The sequence below is a fragment of the Homo sapiens genome, chromosome 10, assembly GCF_000001405.40.
Source record: "Homo sapiens chromosome 10, GRCh38.p14 Primary Assembly".
NCBI lineage: Eukaryota > Metazoa > Chordata > Mammalia > Primates > Hominidae > Homo > Homo sapiens.
In genome coordinates, this window is record NC_000010.11 from 1,542,771 (window position 1) to 1,560,515 (window position 17,745).

Below are 17,745 nucleotides of genomic sequence, written 5' to 3' on the forward strand. Positions count from 1 at the left end.
CAGACGCAGTTCAGACCCTGGATCACAGCCGCCCAGACCCCACTCAGACGCAGTTCAGACCCTGGATCACAGCCGCCCAGACCCCACTCAGATGTAGTTCAGACCCTGGATCACAGCCGCCCAGACCCCACTCAGATGTAGTTCAGACCCTGGATCACAGCCGTCCAGACCCCACTCAGACGCAGTTGGGACCCTGGATCACAGCTGTCCGTCCGCCCGAGCAGATTCTTGTCCAGGTGTTTTTCCACTTGCAGCTCCGCGCTGGGCAGCTTCAGGCCTGTTACAGCGACGGTGCGGCTTCCCTGCCTGGGTTGTTGGGACGGAAGGGATTCCACCCTGGGGCGGTGTGGGGTGGCTTCCCTGCTCTCCCTGCTCTCTGCGTTCCCACGGTGCAGGATGGCGGCGTTGAGAGCCAGAAACGAAACCCTGAGAAGCAGAAGCCGGGCGTCCTGCCCGCCCTCCTCTACCAGGCCTCATCTGGAGGGCTGCGCCAGGTCCTTCCAACTTCAAAGAGTTGCCTGTGAAGGGCGTCCTCCAGGTGGGTCTGCAGTGCAGTCAAGGCCTCCTGCAATTAATATGCTGGGAACACATTTTAAATAGCTCCCTCCTCCCTTGAATAGCAGACGGGGACAACAAGCCTGTTATTCAGTATTCCATTTTTGATAGCTCATTGTATCTAAAAAGAGATCAATTAAAGCTCTCAGAAAGCTCTCCAGCTTAATTGAAGGACAATTTAGACATTGCAGTAACGGCAGATCTGCCGTCCATTGCCGCATTTATTCGGGCTGGGAGCTATTGGCGTCTCCCACACACCCTCGCAGATGAAGAGATTTCAACTGGAAAGGAAACGCTACCATCAGAGGAAAGATAAATTGTCACCAACTTCATTCTTCAACGGATAAAGGGAGCTTTGGAAATAAAAAATAGACCCGAACCATGATGTGGTGGAATTATCTGTGCCTGTGCTCTCCTGAGCAGCCGGGCCTGCGTTCCTTCTTCTTCCCTGTGAAGGGGCAGCGCTGGGCCCGCTTATTAGTGCAACAGCAAAGACTCATTAAGTTTACAGCCCGCCCGTGACGTGAGGCAGCTCTGGCCAGAAATCTCAAGTTCATCCCATCAAGTCAATTTTGTCTGTATTTTAAGAACTTATCTCTTGCAAAATGGGACCTTAACATGTTTGTGATGGTCCACAGATAGCTCTTACTGAAAGCGAGAATGGCAGGTGACCAAAAAAAAAAAAAAACAAACAAAAAAAAAAACACACAAAATGGTGACCTCAGGGACGTGATGAAAGGGCAATGATGACTTCACTGTGTGTTTTCCTGACCGTGGAGTAGAGCCGTCCCAGGCAGACTCTCTGGGCCCTGCTCAGGACGGTCATGAAACCCCATGCTCTTGTTATGTGAATATTGAAAGCAACGCCAGGGTCTGGGAGGGCAGTGGGATGAGCCTGGCCTGGGGCAGGTGGCACCAGGGCTGCTGAGTTTCCAGGGGCACTGGCTGGTGAGTGGCCACAGCCCCTCCCGTTGGTCACCACCTGGTGGGCAGCAGCATGAAGCCCCCGGGGGTGCGGAGTGTTGGGCTGTGTGCCACCTTCGGGGGCTCTGATGAGCAGCTCCACTCCTTGGCCCAGGGCAGGCTTCTCAGGAGCAGGCTTGGGGGTCTGTGGCTTTTCACACGGGACGTGGACTAGCTGCTTGCCTGAGAGACCACCCTTCTGGATTCCAGAGGACCCAGCCAGAGTCGTCACGGCAGGGTCTGCAGGGTTGGAGAAGGCTCTGTTGGGGCCGGGCACAGCAGGTGGTGGCAGGAGGATAATGCCGGGGCCTGGACAGGGGGTACAGGGGCGGGAATGGATGCACAGGTACAGACCCTGCTCTTACGTCTAGGAGGCGGGTATAGTCAATGCGATGTGTAATGTGTACATACAGTGTGAAATGTATGTAGCATGTAAAGTACACATAATAAAGTTTATATGATTTGTAAAGTACAAATGCTATGTCAAGTGTACATACCACATAAAGTCTATATAACATGTAGGGTGTATATGATATGTAAAGAGTATGTAATATGTCAAGTAAACAAAATACGTATGGTCTATATAATTCAAAGTGTCTACATTATATATAAAGTCTACATATTAGGTAAAGTCTATATAATATGTGAAGTCTATAATAGCAAAGTATACACACACACACACACACACACACACACAATGTCCCTTGCAGCAGGAATGTGGATGGTCCCTGGGAAGTCTGGTAGGCTTGGTGAACTGACTTTTGCTGAGCACCCAGTAACAGGAGTTGAAATACCAGCTCCATCTCTCCACTTGTCTCACAGCTGCTGGCCTTGGCATTCTGAGCCTCTGTGTCATGCGGTGCCACTTCATTCTGAAGAGTGTGTAGCACAGTGCAGCCATGGCTCCATGCTTCCTAACGAGTATTGATCCCACTAGGGAATATTTTCAGAACCAGATACAGTGGGTGCAATTCACACCAGCATCCTTCTCTGGAAGACTAGCTACATCTTGCACTTTTCTTCCATTTTCTATCTTTCTTATGTTTAAAGATAGTTCAAAATAATTAAAATCAGTGTGATCTGAACATTTGGGGGATGTTTGTAACAGTAAACCATAGATTCTCTGGGATATAAGATAAAGGAAAACAAGTAGAACAGAAATGAGAATGGATTTCCTTGTACACAAAGTTAGAAGAGAGTTTCAGTGAGCTCCCGCGGGCAGTGACCTTGACTGCGAATTTTGTCTCTTCCCTGACTTTTTCCTCCCCTTCCTCCCCTTCCCTTAAGGAAGATGGCCTCGGTTAGCCAGGAAGGGTCCTCGTGGAGCTCTGGGAATGCTGTGGCCTTAGCAGCCAAGGGGTATTACCTGTTCGTGGGTGTGGGCAGCCTTGGCAGGGATGGCAAAGGGGCCTATGGTGACTGTGCTGCACTCCATGAAAAGCAACAAGGAAGCCCCAAGGTCAGCAGAGGCAGAAGCGCAGTGAGGGCGCACGGGGCATGTAGTCAGTGCCCTGCACTCTCTAGTGTTGGGAGCAGTCAGCAGAACGGCCAGTGCTAGTGGGCAGGATGAGGGAGGCTGCAGGGAGCACAGATTTCAAACTGACCCAACAGTCCCATAGCTTTTTGAAATGAACAGAGAAATGGACCCTTCTGGTCTTAAAGCTTGAAAATTACATTTGCTTTATCTGAGTTTCTTCCTCAGGAAATGACCCTTAGTCCTTTAAAAAAAAAAAGAAAGCACCAAGGAGCTGAAACTCACCAGATCACTGCATCGGAAGAGCAAGACACCAGCCCCTTGCCTGCCTTGACTGCCTTTGTGACCACCTGCTGCCTGTTGACTGATGGCTCCCCCTAACTCTCCCTGGTTCCTGTTTTCCCACACATGGTTACATTTCTTCCCTGCTACGTGAACTCCCGATTTTAGTCGGTCCAGGAGATGGATTTGAGACTGAGCTCTCCTCTCCTCTGCGTCAGCAGTACTCGTGGTCCCAGTGATTGGCTTTCCGTGCAGAGAGCAGCAGGATGTAGGTCAAAACCCTGGTGTTTCGGCAACAGGTTCCTGCACTTACAGACCGGCCTCCACGGGGTGGGAAGGCTCTCCCGTGCTTCCGTTACCACTGTTGACCAGCTCTAAAATTACCACCTGCAACTCGCAGTGAAAAATTCTGCCTGTCTGTCCTGCTCCTGACTTTGAGGAGAAATGGTGAGGAGATGGGGACACAGCCTGGGGACACTGTGGCTCTCCAATCACAACACTGCCACCACAAGTCACTGGAGAAGGGGCAGCAACTCTCCGTGTCCTGGGTCTCATCTGAGACAAGAGTGCCACCCTGTACCAGGCATCTCTTGCCCCTTAAGGCAGATGCTAAAGCCTTTGCAGAAAGGCCACGTCCCGGCTGGAGGATGGTAATGATGTTTAGGAGATCACAGCTGGGCAAAGGGTGAAAACAACGCTGGGAGGTCGAAAGGCTGCAGAACCCATTACCCATCTCCCGATAGCCATTCCGATGGAAGGCCCTGACAAACGACTCCCTGCAAAGCCGGATAAGCCCTCTGCATCCATCGGCTAATGCCAGGCAAGGCGGGAATGCGATGAGGGCTGGCTGGAGGCAGGGCTGCCAGGAAGGGAGGGTCTGTGAAGTGCGAACACACTCACTGGTTTTGGGGAAAGGGTGAACAACCCAGTGAGCACTGCATGTTAGGAACAGGTCAGTAAACACAGCCTGGCAGGAGCAGACAGAAGCCATTCGTCGAGAGCGGGACGCGGGTGGGAGGCCTTGGCTACACAGACACAGGACCTGAAGATAAGATACTGTGGCCTGTCGGTCACCACTCTGTGTGCATAGCAGTGCAGGTGACATCATTACCTTTGGGGAAACTGGGAGAGATGCTGCGCAGGTGTATACACTGTGGGGAGGGGGAGAGAGGCTGTGCAAGTCTATGCACTGTGTTGGGGGCAGAGGCTGCACTGGCGTATGCACTGTGGGGAGGGGGAGAGAGGCTGTGCAAATCTATGTACTGTGTTGGGGGAGAGAGAGGCTGTGCAGGTGTATACACTGTGGGGAGGGAGAGAGGCTGTGCAGGTCTATGTACTGTGTTGGGGGGAGAGGCTGCACTGGCGTATGCACTATGGGGAGGGGGAGAGAGGCTGTGCAAGTCTATGCACTGTGTTGGGGGGAGAGGCTGCACTGGCGTATGCACTGTGGGGAGGGGGAGAGAGGCTGTGCAAGTCTATGTACTGTGTTGTGGGGGAGTGGCTGCACTGGTGTATACACTGTGGGGAGGGGGAGAGAGGCTGTGCAAGTCTATGCACTGTGTTGAGGGGAGAGGCTGCACTGGCGTATGCACTGTGGGGAGGGGGAGAGAGGCTGTGCAAGTCTATGCACTGTGTTGGGGGCAGAGGCTGCACTGGCGTATGCACTGTGGGGAGGGGGAGAGAGGCTGTGCAAGTCTACGCACTGTGTTGGGGGGAGAGGCTGCACTGGTGTATACACTGTGGGGAGGGGGCAAGAGGCTGCACAGGTGTATACACTGTGGGGAGGGGGAGATAGGCATTGGTTTGTCATTGCAGGACTGATCTGAAGGCCAGAGCCAAGACTCAGGGCAGGGCTGTTGGGAGGCCCCTGACAGGCCTGGGAAGGCCTTGCCTGGTCACAGTGTTTTGTGGGCCTGAGGATTCAGGACACGTGGTACTTGCTTGACCATATAGTTTATTTTAATAATGGAATTATAGAGAATTTCTGTTTTCCCTCTGGGAGGCTGGAGTCTGAGCTGCTGTGGTCTGTCACACAGACACTGCCTCCCTAAGTGACTGACCCTCAATAAAAACCTTGGACGCCGAAGCTCAGGTGAACTTTCCCAGCTGAACCTTGGACCCGGAGGCTCAGGTGAGTTTTCCAGCTGGTGTCATTGCACACATTATCACCATCATTTCTGGGGGAACTAAGCCCATTCCCGCAACTCACTGGGCAAGGATGTCTGGAGGCAAATGCCTGGATTCTCCTTGTTGTCACCCAGGCTCCCCTCCCTTCGCTGGTGACAATTTGTGGACTTTCACAATGTTAAACAATGGCTGCTGGTGCGCCAGCCCTACCCAGTGAGTACCAGTGAGTACAGAGCCTGAGGGGGGTTTCGGGGACCCCCGGCATAGCCAAAGACCCCTTCACTGACATGGTGAATACACTGTGTAGGTCCAGAGACAGTGATGACAAACTAAGTTTCACAGACTTTGAATTTGGGAAGGCCAGTGAGATATCGCAGCCAAGATACCCCAGAGGCAGTGGAGCAGGGTGAATAAAGTCTCACTAGAGGGTCAGATTTGGCAAATGCGTGGGTTGCAGTTGAAGCCACAGATGTGAATTGCCGTCCAGTAAGTGTAGGGGGAGTAAAGATCTAGGATAAGGAGAGAAAGAGAAACTGGCACTGACAGAAAGAAACAGGAAGAGAAAAAGCTGACAGAAACTACATGGAACCTACCACACTCAAGGGAGGTTGGCTAATGGTGTCACGTGATGCCAGGACACCTGGCGAGTTAGGAACCTGGGAAGAGTTATTTTGTGACCTGGGCTGACAGTTTTATTAAAAGGGACAAGTGAGTGGCCAGAGTGTGAGGGGCCGAGGCAGGCCTGGCAGGAATGAGGGTGGGCTGTTAAGGTGATCTGGCTGGGCCACAGGGGCGGGGGAGAGAGGCGTTGGTTTGTCATTGTTCTTGAATTAAGCATGTTGAGTTGCCAACTACAAGATGCTAAAAGAGAGGGAGAATCTGAAGACGTCTGAGGGGAACTGCAGCCGGGTTTCAGTACAGGGTGGGAGCAGAGGCTGGCGTCCGGTACACGGAGTTCGAAACACTAGGGGGGAATCACTTTAGCTGGGGGGTCCCCTCCTCTCTCACTGAAAGGTGGAGTGGGGTGGGGCGTGGAGCTGGGGGGGTCCCCTCCTCTCATTGAAAGGCGGAGTGGGGTGAGGCATGGAGCAGACATGGCTGAGTGTGTAAGTTGGAACTCAGCAGGCAAACAAGTTTCCTCAAAAAAATTCGACTGTCTCTGTTTAGCAGGGACACAAGGCGCTCTTTTTGAAAGCCCTGGGAGTGGATGGATTGTGATTCATCTTTGTTATTTGATTATTCCAAAGGTATATTTGTGGGAGAAATGCAGGAAGGAAGGAGGGAGACGGGAGGAGGGTGCAGGGGTGAGCAGGGTGCCCGGGGTTGGTGTTTCCACCCAGTGGCATGGATTTGTCCTGATTGTGCTAAGAGAAGACGCTGCCTCCTTTTCTTCCTCCGAGACCCACGCATGGTCAAACAGTTTAAATAAGAGGCGAACGCAATGCAGAGCACGGCACTGAGAGAGCTGCGTAAGAGAGAACGCAATGCACTCTTCCTCCTCATTGTCACAGAGTTGGCCAAACCCATTGTCCCCATCCTCTAGACTCCAAAACCGATGCCCTGGAAAGGCAGGAGATATCACAGGGTGCCCAGCGGGACAACCCGATCCCTGTTCAAGCGTGGGAACCACCCCAGACCCTTCCTTCCAGCCAACTGCGATCCCGGAGAGACGGCAGCCAGGAGAGCCTCTCACCCCCTCTCCTGGGTGCTGGGTCTGCAGCGTGAGATTAGATGGAGCTCTCTGTGCCCATCCAGGAAGCCTTGAGTTTCTGTTAATATGCAATACAAGCTTACAATAGAGGGAATCCCTCCAAAACACAACACACCATATTGTTTATAAGAGGCTACCAGGGACTGAAAAGTAAACACAAAAAGACAAACAAAGTCTTCCCTACACCCAGCAGGGCCAAAGAGATTTTTCCCTCTTTCCAATAAGCTCTGAGAAATGGGGTCCCTGCTCCCCACACCACAGCCCACACCTGGAACCCCTCCCCGCTGCAGGCTGCCCGGCCACCTGCTCCACTGTACTCGGAAAACACACAACTACATTTTGTTTGTTTTCCTCTCTGGGCCTCTGATCGAATTTTTAAGCACCTCCTTGTTGCTTTATTCTCCCTGAATTTCCTGGAAGTGCTAACCTCAAAGTACCACGGAAAATGCCTTCCTAGAGTACCTTTGGCCTGACACGGCGAACAGCAGCTATTTTCTGAGAAAGCTCATTCTTTGGAGAGTCTCAGTGTAATTGCACTGATTGTGCTGGCTCTGGAAACCTCAGAGCCACCATAGGTCTTTGAAAACCAACGAATATGAGTCAACACATTTTTGCAGCTAATGACGCTCTCTAGTTGATGAAAGCCGATGGCCCACATGGCCCAATTTACCACGATTTACTGGAGATATAAATGGCATGAACCTCAGGCCCCTTCAGGGAGGTTGCAGCCACACAGACCGACACTGGAGAGGTTTTAGTGTAATGCAGTCTCATGGCTTTGGAGTGAAAGGAACTGATTTTGGAATTTGTTAGGGTCGTGGGAGCTAGAAGAGATTTGGAGACCAGTAGATACCTCTGTTGTACAGACAAGAAAGCCACAACCCCGAGTGCTTAGTCATTTGGCAAGAGTGAAGGTGAAGAGATGGTAGATCTAGAATGCAGAGTCTCCGCCTAACGGTCCCCGCGCTTCCCAGGCCGCCGTGCGAGCCCTGTTTGTGCCGCAACAGGAAGAATGGTGTGGAGTTCGGAGACTAAAGGTGCACTGTGCTTTTAAAATAAAAAGGACGGCAGAAAAGGGGCTGTTCTGGGCTGTATTCGGCCCTGTCAAAATTCACACGTGGAAACCCTGACTCCCAGGACCTCAGAAGGTGACAGTGTTTGGAGATGGTGTCCTTACAGAGCTGATGAAGATAAATGAAGTCATATGACTGGACCCTGGTCCAACCTGCCTGGTGTCCTTATAAGAAGAGGAGATGAGGACACAGACACACACAGAAGGAGGACCCTGTGAGGACACAGAGAGAAGACGCCATCTGCAAGCCATGGAGAGGCCTCAGGAGGAACCAGGCCCCTGGACACCTTGATCTCGGGTTTCCAGCCTCTCTGACTGTGACAACGTGAATGTCTATTATTGAAGCCACCTGGGCTGTGGTCTTATGACAGCCCCAGGAAACTTATAGGAGCCAGCTAAATTATTCTCCACTTGCTTAAGAGAGGAAAACCTGTTGTCCGGGCTGCCACAGTGGTAAAGTCCTTCTCACCTTCACCCAGACAGTTTCTCAATGATCCAGAAGATGCAAAAGAGGCAGGCTCGAGCAGGACTGCACTGCCAGGAGCAGGCCTCACACTTTCCCTTCCTGGGCGGCTGTCCCTCTGCCCGCCCTTCCTGCCATCCCTCTATTGTAGAACTGGTAAAACTTCCATTATTATTTTTAAAGCAAAAATAAAATAATTTTAAGGTCTTTCTTCCAATGACATCTCACCTGGTAACCCAGAAATGAAACAAGAAAACAGAGGGAGCACCTGAGGCGCCAGGGCCTGGGATTGGCTCCAAAATCCCCTTCCTGCCCCTCTGGTGGCCGATGGGCCCCAGGTCCAGCGATGGCCAAATCGAAGGTCCTGCCGGGCTTCCGGCTCTGAATGTCTCCGGGACACAATGTACCAAATAGACAGGTGCTCTGAGAAGTGAGGGCTGAGCTGGGCTTGTCAGAATGTGCTGGGAAAGGCAGACAGAATGGGACTGACTGGCCTTTATACTGCAGACATGGAGTCCTGGCCTCAGGAGGGGCAGCGTGGCCACCCCAGGGGGGCGGAGTGAGGTGAGTGAGGCTGAGCGGCTCCAGGTGGCCTCCTGCGTGGAGGCCAAGCCCTCCTCCCGCATGTGGCCTGAGCCTCCTCCCTCGCAGCCGATCACAGAACCATACAGTCCCAATCCTGCCACCAAGTCATTATCAATCAGGGGTTAAAGGCTGCTCCTGGCCACTCCCACTCCGAGCAGGTGGCTCTGCAGCCCCCAGGATGCCCATGGGGGGAGCTGGCCTGGGGCCAGGAGCCTTTCCTTTGCAGCTCATGGACTGCACTCCAGGGCAGCTGTGGCCTGTGCCGTGTAAGTGGATACAGCCTCGGGTTTCACTGCACGCTCCCTCCTCTCTGGCTAGTTTGGGGCCCTGTCCTTGGGGCATTAGGGGCATGAAATGCCTGCAGACCCACGGGTGATGCCTTTTAGAGAGTGGGTGAAGAGAAGTGGGAGGCACAGCCCCAGTGCTCACCCCAGGGGGCCGGAGGGAGCAGGATCTGTGTGTTCACCCCACAGTGGCTCCAGAGAACATGGGCGGCTGTCCTGCCTGGCACTCAGTGAGGGGCTGCCAAGGTCGGCTTCAGGGAACAGTCAATCAACACATCTACTGGGGACAGGAGGAGGGAGGGAAGGGGAGAAGAGGGCGTGAAGAGCCTTTTTCTGGCCTGGTCCTGCCCGGCACTCAGCGAGGGGCTGCCAAGGTCGGCTTCAGGGAACAGTCAATCAACACATCTATTGGCGACAGGAGGAGGGAGGGAAGGGGAGAGGAGGGAGGGAAGGGGAGAGAAGGGCTTGAAGAGTGGCCCTGGAGTCAGAGAGCACCTTCCTCTGGCCTGGTCCTGCCGGACACTCACCCCTGGCGGAAATGGAATGGATCCTTGTGGTCTTGGCAGGTATTTTATTGGCCTAGATTTTCTGTATGTTTTGGTTTTTACCTCCTGTGGAACGGAACCCTTAATTAATTCGTTTAGTCACTCATTCAGCAAATGTTTGTCAGGATCTTTGAGGCAGAAACTGTATGTCACCCCCATGGTCTGTGCCCAGTCACTGTGGGAACATCCTGGGACATGGGGGGAGAGCAGTGTCACCCGCAGCTCCCTGCCGGAGACCCTGCCCCATTGCTGGGAGCACCGCGTCCTCGCAGCCCAGGCCAGCACCATCTCTGAATGCTACCAGACACCAGGTGGCTCATAACATTGGGAAATGACTGTTTTAATCGTTAATTACCAAAAAAATGTCACTGTGCTGGTACAATATATGCGGTGATTTCTGTCATAAATTGACATCTGTAAGTCATAAATTGCTTAGTTTTAGCTGCTTTTAATGGCTGAATTTTCCCAAGCTACATGGTGCACACATTTTGGATCAAGTTCAAACTCTTCTGGCACCGGGCGCCTTCTGGGAACTGGCATGGACGAGGCAGGCAGCGGATTCTGACGGCGTCAGCAGCGCGAGAGGCACCCGACCTCTCACTAAAACGTTTGGCCTGCTCCCAGGAAGAGGCTTCCATGGAAAGCCAGAAGACCCTTTAATCAGAGAAGATTCTAGCCGGTCTCAAAGGAAGGATGCAGTTTGCGCCGTCGAAAATGGAAATCAAAGGAACGCGATGCTCTAACGGACTCGAGGAGGCCGGCTCCGTCTTGGCATTGTTCAGAAACATCCCGGCTTCTTCTCTGTTTGATTTCCAACAGGTTATTCCCAGAGGAACCACAGTCCTTTCTACCCAGAAGCCTAAAAATACATGCTTTTGAGAGCACTGCCAGAGTAGGTTAAGAATAAAGAAGGCGTTTGGAGCGCAGGCAGAAGACACTTGTGCTCTTCTAAGCGCAGCGACCGTGGCAGGAATAACGAGCTACAGAGGCCACACCCGCACACGGGAAACGCATTTCCCATCGCCCCAAACACAAACCCTGCACCTCTGGCCTGTAAAGGAAGTCCAGGCTCACTTAGAACCGGTAGAATTCTAAAATTACACAAATCAGCAGAGGAGGCCTGTAAACCGGAGTCCAGAAAGTCGGCTGGTGGAGGCTGTGCAGGGTTGGAACCTGCCCCCAGCGCTCAGCTCTGCTCCGTCCTCTCAGGGGGCCTGGGTCCCACAGCCCAGGGCAGAGACAGAATCTGGGGTCTGAGTCCCCCTGGGTCCCCCAGGCTCATCTCAGCGGCCCTATTTCTCTTTCCCCACCCATCTGCAGGGCAGGCCCTGGTTCTGTCTCCGGGTGGCCTGTGCCCTAGGCTCTGGGCTTCTTACTCAGCTACTCAGCTCTCCAGCATCCACCCAGCCAGGGGCAGGGGTGGGCCTGTGGCTTCCTCATCCCTGGCTGTTTTCGTGGGGCTCCCAGTCCTTCCCTGGCCCATGGAATCATCTCCTAGGATTAAATTCCCTCTGGTTTAAACGCAGAGAGTCATTTTGTTCTCACGGTTGGGCTGTCACAGAACCATCAATGAATGCTGTCTCTTCCCTGGTGTATGCTGGAGATTAAAACTTCACTTAAAAACACACCAAGAACCTCTGCCCCGGTCTCCACTGTCCCCCAGCCAGCATCCCCCCAAGTTCTGCTGGTGACGCTGAAGCACAACTTTCTTCCCCCGGGGGAGGTGACTTCAGGGCACAGATGGCTTCCCTTCATTCTCCTGCTTTCCCCACAGCCCCCAACGGTACTTCAGTTATTGTGGGCATCAGTAGGTCCTTTCCGATTTCAAGCAACATGTGTGTCCTGGGCCTGTTTTGCCTCTTATTTCTAGGATAGCTTTGTTTACACTACTAAAAAGGTATTTTTAAACATTTAACTTCAACTTTTCTTGTGGGTTCAGGAGGTACGTGTGCAGGTTGTTACCGGGGTATACTGTGTGACGCTGAGGTTTGGGATATGAACGATCTCGTGCCCCAGGTAGTGAGCATAGAACCCAATAGTTTTTCAACCCTGTCCCCCTGCCCCCTCCCAGGGTCCATTGCTCCCATCTTTATATCCGTGAGTATCCAATGTTTACCTCCCACTTACGGATCAGAACATGCACTATTTGTTTTTCTGTTTCTGCATTAATTTTCTTAGGATAATGGCCTCTAGAGGCATCCATGTTTTGGCAAAGGACACGATTTCATTCTTTTTGTATGGCTGCATAGTGTTCCATGGTGTCAATGTGCCACATTTTCTTTATCCAGTTCACCGCTCATGGACACCTAGGCTGATTCCATATCTTTGCTGTTGTGAATGAACACGGGACTGCATGTTGCCTTTGTGGTAGGATGATTTACTTTCTTTCGGATATATATCCCAGTAATCGGACAGCTGACTCAAATGGCAGTTGTCTTAAGTTCCTTGAGAAATCTCCAAATTGCTTCCCACAGTGGCTGAGCGAATTTACATTTCTACCAACAGCGAATAAGTGTTCCCTTTTCTCTGCAACCTCACAAGCATCTTATTTTTTGACTTTTTAATAATTGAAAAGGCATATATCTTAAATACAATTTGAAGCTCAATCATCCTTCGTAAGAGAAGTGGGGGCTAATGAAGTTTCAGGGAACTCATGTCCTGTGGTTTCTTGAAGTGTGAGAAGTTTGACTGCAGGGACCGTGAGTGAGTGTGCTCTTGATAAAAATGAAGGATGGACCGGGGCTTCATTAAGAAACTGTGTCCCTGTGTCAGGTATGCGAGACTACAAGGCAGAGCTGAGGGCCTTATGAAAACATATATGGGCCGGGCGCGGTGGCTCATGCCTGTAATCCCAGCACTTTGGAAGGCCGAGGTGGTTGGATCACCTGAGGTCAGGAGTTCGAGATCAGCCTGGCCAACATGGTGAAACCCTGTCTCTACTAAAAATACAAAAATTAGCCAGGTGTGATGGCGTGCGCCTGTAACCCCAGCTACTCGGCAGGCTGAGGCAAGAGAATTGCTTGAACATGGGAGATGGAGGTTGCAGTGAGCCGAGATCACACCACTGCACTCCAGCCTGGGTGACAGAGTGAGAATCTGTCTCAAAAAACAAAACAAAACAAAAAACTGAAAACATACATGTTGTGCATGTTAATGAAAGAATGGGGAAACATTTGAACATAAGAAATTGTGTTTTTCTTTGTCTGTCTTTCATATATTCTGAATTATCAGCTCTTAGAGATTAGGGTCTGGAATCCTTCAATTCCTCACACTGTTTAATATGATGCTCAAGTGACGAAATTCCCAGGATGAGGGGGCACCTTCCCGTGGCTGGGAAACGAGGACACGGCTTCAGGGCTCCATGGCTTCCTTTCCTCTTCACCCCACCAAGAGCACCTTCAAAGAAAGCCTTCCTCTCAAACAAAAAGTCTTTTTTTTTTTTTTTAAATTTCTTTACTGGGGGACAAATCCCTTTGCTTGAGGGGGTTCTATAAGAGGAAGGGGATAGATGCATTGTGTAGGAAATCTTGGATTTGTGTTTCCACTTTTCTTGGTGAAGCAATTCCCAACTCTACCCTGTGCCGATTCCAGAGTCCTGCCAGCAAAAATGCTCTACGTCTTCCTCCTTGTCTCTAAATATTCCCTTCCCTCTTACTCCCTGCTGGTGCTTCGCAAACTTTGCTGTGCATTCGAATCACCTGGGATCTTATTAACTGGAGATTTCGACTCCATGGTCTGGGGAGGGCCTGAGCATTTGCTTTTTTCTGTCTCTTTTGCAGCTGTCGAGGATGCCCTGATGTCTGTTCTCACATCACATTGCGCTCCAAGTACCCCGGCTGCAACCAGAGCTCAGCAAACCGGGACCAGAGGGCACATCCACCCTGCCTGCCCATGTCAACAGAGTTGTGTGGGAGCCAGCCGGCCCCCAGGAAGACCCCAGATCTTCCTGCCCCTGACCACAGCTCTGTCCCTGGAAGCATATGCTGCAGACACTTGCTCTGCTGCAGATTTTCTGCACAACCCCTCCTCATGGGGGAAGGTTTGGTACCTGAATGAGGCCTCTTTTGACCTCTATTCCTATCACTATTTTTGGTGACCTCAATATTTATGAAGGTAATAACTTGGTCTTTAATCCAGACAATTTTCACCTCCAGGAATCTTGTCCTGCATCTCACTTTTCTTCTTGAGTCCTGTGGTCATCACCAAAACCTGTCCCTCCTTGGAAACCTCAGTTTAAGCATCCCACTGTCCGAGGGTACCTCTTTCCTTCCATTGCCTCAGTTTCAGGTGTCCAGTCCATGGCGCCCCCCGTCTTTGCCCAGTCACCATGTCCAGTCGACTGTGCTCCCATCTTTACCCAGCCACTGTGTCCAGTCCATGGTGCCCCCATCTTTGCCCAGCCACCACCTCGTCTGACTCCCCGTCCTCCCCTTGGTGCTGGGCTCCTGCCTGTCCCTCCTCTGTCAAGTGCACCTGGACCTGGGAGTGACCTTGGAGTGACCTTGACCCTGGCAGCTCCAACTCTCAACCCGTCAGCCAGGCTCCTTGAAACCTGGCTGGAGGGAAACGGCAAACCCTGCCACCTGGAGTCGCCTAAAATTCGCAGCCACGGTCCTCCAACAGGCCCCACGCTTCCCGCCAGTCCAGCACATTTCCTGGTTAATTTATAATTCTGTTTTCCCAGGCAGCTATTTTGCAATTTCCAGGCTCAACAAAGCCTCCAACAGTTCTTCACCTTCCTAATTCCGAGCTGTTGCCCACATTTGTTTATTTTATCAAAAGAACTTCCGGGCCGGGTGCAGTGGCTCACACCTGTAATCCCAGCACTTTGGGAGACCCAGGCGGGTGGATCACCTGAGGCCAGGTGTTCGAGACCAGCCTGACCAACATGGTGAAACCCCATCTCTAATACAAAATACACACACAAAAAATTAGCTGGGGGTAGTGGTGGGCATCTGTAATCCCAGGTACTCTGGAGCCTGAGACATGAGAATCGTTTGAACCCGGGAGGCGGAGGTTGCGGTGAGCTGAGGTTGCGGTGAGCTGAGGTTGCGCCACTGCACTCCAGCCTGCACAGCAGAGGGAGACCCTATCTAAAAACAAAACAAAACAAAACAAAATCCATGTTCTTCCAGCATCTGTGGCTGCCACATTCCCTGCCCTCCTTTTAAAGCAGCTGCAAGCAGCTGAGTTCCCAGCCTCAGTGGCATCACCCCAGGCCCAGCAGTGAGCGTGGCTTCCATGCTTTTCATGGAGCAAAGAAGAAAGGAGCTTCCTGGACCCCGTGACTCTGGAACCCTCACGTCTCCATCCTTCCCACCCCCAGGCTGTGCCTGGGCACCGTCTCCCCGGAGAGACCCCGCGTGCCCCATCTAAATCTTCATCCCACCTCTGCCCCCCTCCATGGGTGCTCAGACCCCGCATGCTCCATCTAAATCCACATCCCACCTCTGTCCCCCCTCCGTGGGTGCTCAGCCCCCACGCACCCCATCTAAATCCGCATCCCACCTCTGTCCCATTCTGTGGGTGCTCAGCCCCCGCATGCTCCATCTAAACTCGAATCCCACCTCTGCCCCCCTCCGTGGGTGCTCAGCACCCCCATGCCCCATCTAAATCCACATCCCACCTCTGCCCCCCTCCGTGGGTGCTCAGCCCCCACACACCCCATCTAAATCTGCATCCCACCTCTGTCCCCTTCTGTGGGTGCTCAGCCCCCACGCACCCCATCTAAATCTGCATCCCACCTCTGTCCCCTTCTGTGGGTGCTCAGCCCCTGCATGCTCCATCTAAACTCGAATCCCACCTCTGCCCCCCTCCGTGGGTGCTCAGCACCCCCATGCCCCATCTAAATCCACATCCCACCTCTGCCCCCTTCTGTGGGTGCTCAGCCCCCGCATGCTCCATCTAAACTCGAATCCCACCTCCGCCCCACTCCGTGGGTGCTCAGCCCCCGCATGCTCCATCTAAACTCGAATCCCACCTCTGCGCCCCTCCATGGGTGCTCAGCTTGCCTTATTTTTCTTCAGAGCCATGACCACTTCCCAGCATAACATGCATGTGTTTCTGTTTTATGCGTGGATGTTTATGTTCCATGAGAACCAACAGTGGGCTGGTTTGTTCACGTTTGGACTCAAAGCCTGGCACATGTACATCTGGTGTCTGTGTCTGGCACTGCTTTTGAGGCTTGGGAAAGGCGGATAAAGTCTCTCAATCGCATCCCCAGTGCTGAGACAGTCCACGTACACATCCACATGAGGCTTTAAGACACTGATGCACTTCAGCTGCAGGGCCTGTCAAATCCAAGCTCAAGAGAGAATGATGTGGTTTCCAAGATAAATGCCAGATACTTGCTTCTCCCCACCCAGGACTCTGCTGCTTTTATGGAAATACACATTGCTGTGGGAGAGGAAAGAGGGCTGAACAGATCATGTTGCAGTGTGGATATGGGTTTTGGCTGATAAGGGCTGTGATCACTGGCTCTTGGAGCTGTCCCCGACAAGGTGTCAAGGGTCCTGAGATGCTAACGTGCGTGGTGAGGTCGGAGTCTCTCTAAGATCCTGCAAGTGACACGGGTCACATTCCCTGGGGAGGGTCCTCCAGAGGCTGGTCCACTGGGTGGACGCCTGTGCCCCCGAGATAGGGGACTTCTCTTCCACCACTGGCCTGGCTCAAAGGACAGATGCCCTCTGGAGATGTGGCACTTAAGCTACCGTGACAGGGGATGGGTGCTGACAAGCAGATCCTAGTTCAGATTTTGACACAAGACGGTCAGGAGGAGCCTGGGCCGGTGGGGGGTGGTGCTGAGGTCAGCGGTGGAGGAACAGGGCGAGAATCACACCAGAAAACAAATGCCTCGCTTAGCGACTCCACAGTCCTGCCCTCGGTTGACTGATGATTTTACACATTTTAAGAAATTTCATAGGGTTTTCTGTAGATTTGACAGGTCTTTTCTTGTTGGAGCAGGAAGTAAAAATGATAGGACTAAGCAAGCAAAAACAGTTTATAAAGAGGAGCCCATGTTGCGGTGACATTCTCATCATCGCTAGAGATGGGCGGCTTCTCAGAAGCGTGTCCTCACCCTCGGGGGAGCAGCGGGCTTCTGATTGTTAAAGAACCCTGGGCTCCGCATCAGATCTGAGTGAGGAATCCCACTGCGTGGACGGCAGGTGAAAACTGTCAGTGTAAACAACCTATTTTCATATCTAGGACAAAGGTTAAGATGTGAGATTTTCGTCTTCCAAGGCCAACTTGGATTACTTATCTAACAAATCCTAAGATTCCCAGACTAGTCGGCTCCCTAATGCATTTCTCTAAAAATTCCTGAAAAGAAAAGAGAGCCAAATGTTTGTGTTTTTCTGGACCCCCCAACTGAAGCCTGTTCCTGAAATGCAGCCTTGAAAAGAATAGGATCTACTTTCTCCCTTGTTCCTGCCAAGAGGTCAGGAGTGATTAATTAGAAACATTATTTGATCAAAACCACATTCGTTTTAGTAAAAAGCAGCAAGAGTTTAACAACTTCTTTCACCCATCACATGCAGCAGAAAATCAGACGAGAAGGATGCATTTCAATGACCCTGGTGCACCCTGGGTCATCACGAGGCGCACCCTGGGTCGTCACACACGCGTGAACACACGGGGGGCACCCTGGGTCGTCACACACGCGTGAACACACGGGGGGCACCCT

The 17,745-nt window shown here is 52.2% G+C and overlaps 1 protein-coding gene and 1 long non-coding RNA gene across 3 annotated transcripts in view, besides 2 other annotated features; one reads left to right on the forward strand and one right to left on the reverse strand.

Annotated features, from left to right (window-relative positions):
• ADARB2-AS1 (ADARB2 antisense RNA 1) overlaps positions 1-14,238 on the forward strand; it is a 30,379-nt gene extending 16,141 nt beyond the window's left edge. Inside the window, exons 1-3 of one of the 2 annotated variants that reach the window (NR_152792.1) lie at positions 3,990-4,094; positions 5,311-5,405; positions 13,841-14,238. This is a non-coding gene — a long non-coding RNA (ADARB2 antisense RNA 1). Of the gene's footprint in view, positions 1-3,989; positions 4,095-5,310; positions 5,406-13,840 lie in introns of those variants that run through there. The other variant, NR_033387.2, reaches the window with a different exon arrangement.
• ADARB2 (adenosine deaminase RNA specific B2 (inactive)) overlaps positions 1-17,745 on the reverse strand; it is a 560,213-nt gene that overhangs the window by 365,458 nt on the left and 177,010 nt on the right. The window lies entirely within an intron of this gene.
• Positions 9,434-9,961: an enhancer, noted in NCBI's record as "H3K4me1 hESC enhancer chr10:1594399-1594926 (GRCh37/hg19 assembly coordinates)". NCBI's record gives its function as "activates a minimal SCP1, AML or CMV promoter by ChIP-STARR-seq in naive H9 embryonic stem cells {active_cell/tissue: H9 hESC(naive)}" and the evidence as "EXISTENCE:reporter gene assay evidence [ECO:0000049][PMID:30033119]".
• Positions 16,237-16,737: an enhancer, noted in NCBI's record as "H3K4me1 hESC enhancer chr10:1601202-1601702 (GRCh37/hg19 assembly coordinates)". NCBI's record gives its function as "activates a minimal SCP1, AML or CMV promoter by ChIP-STARR-seq in primed H9 embryonic stem cells {active_cell/tissue: H9 hESC(primed)}" and the evidence as "EXISTENCE:reporter gene assay evidence [ECO:0000049][PMID:30033119]".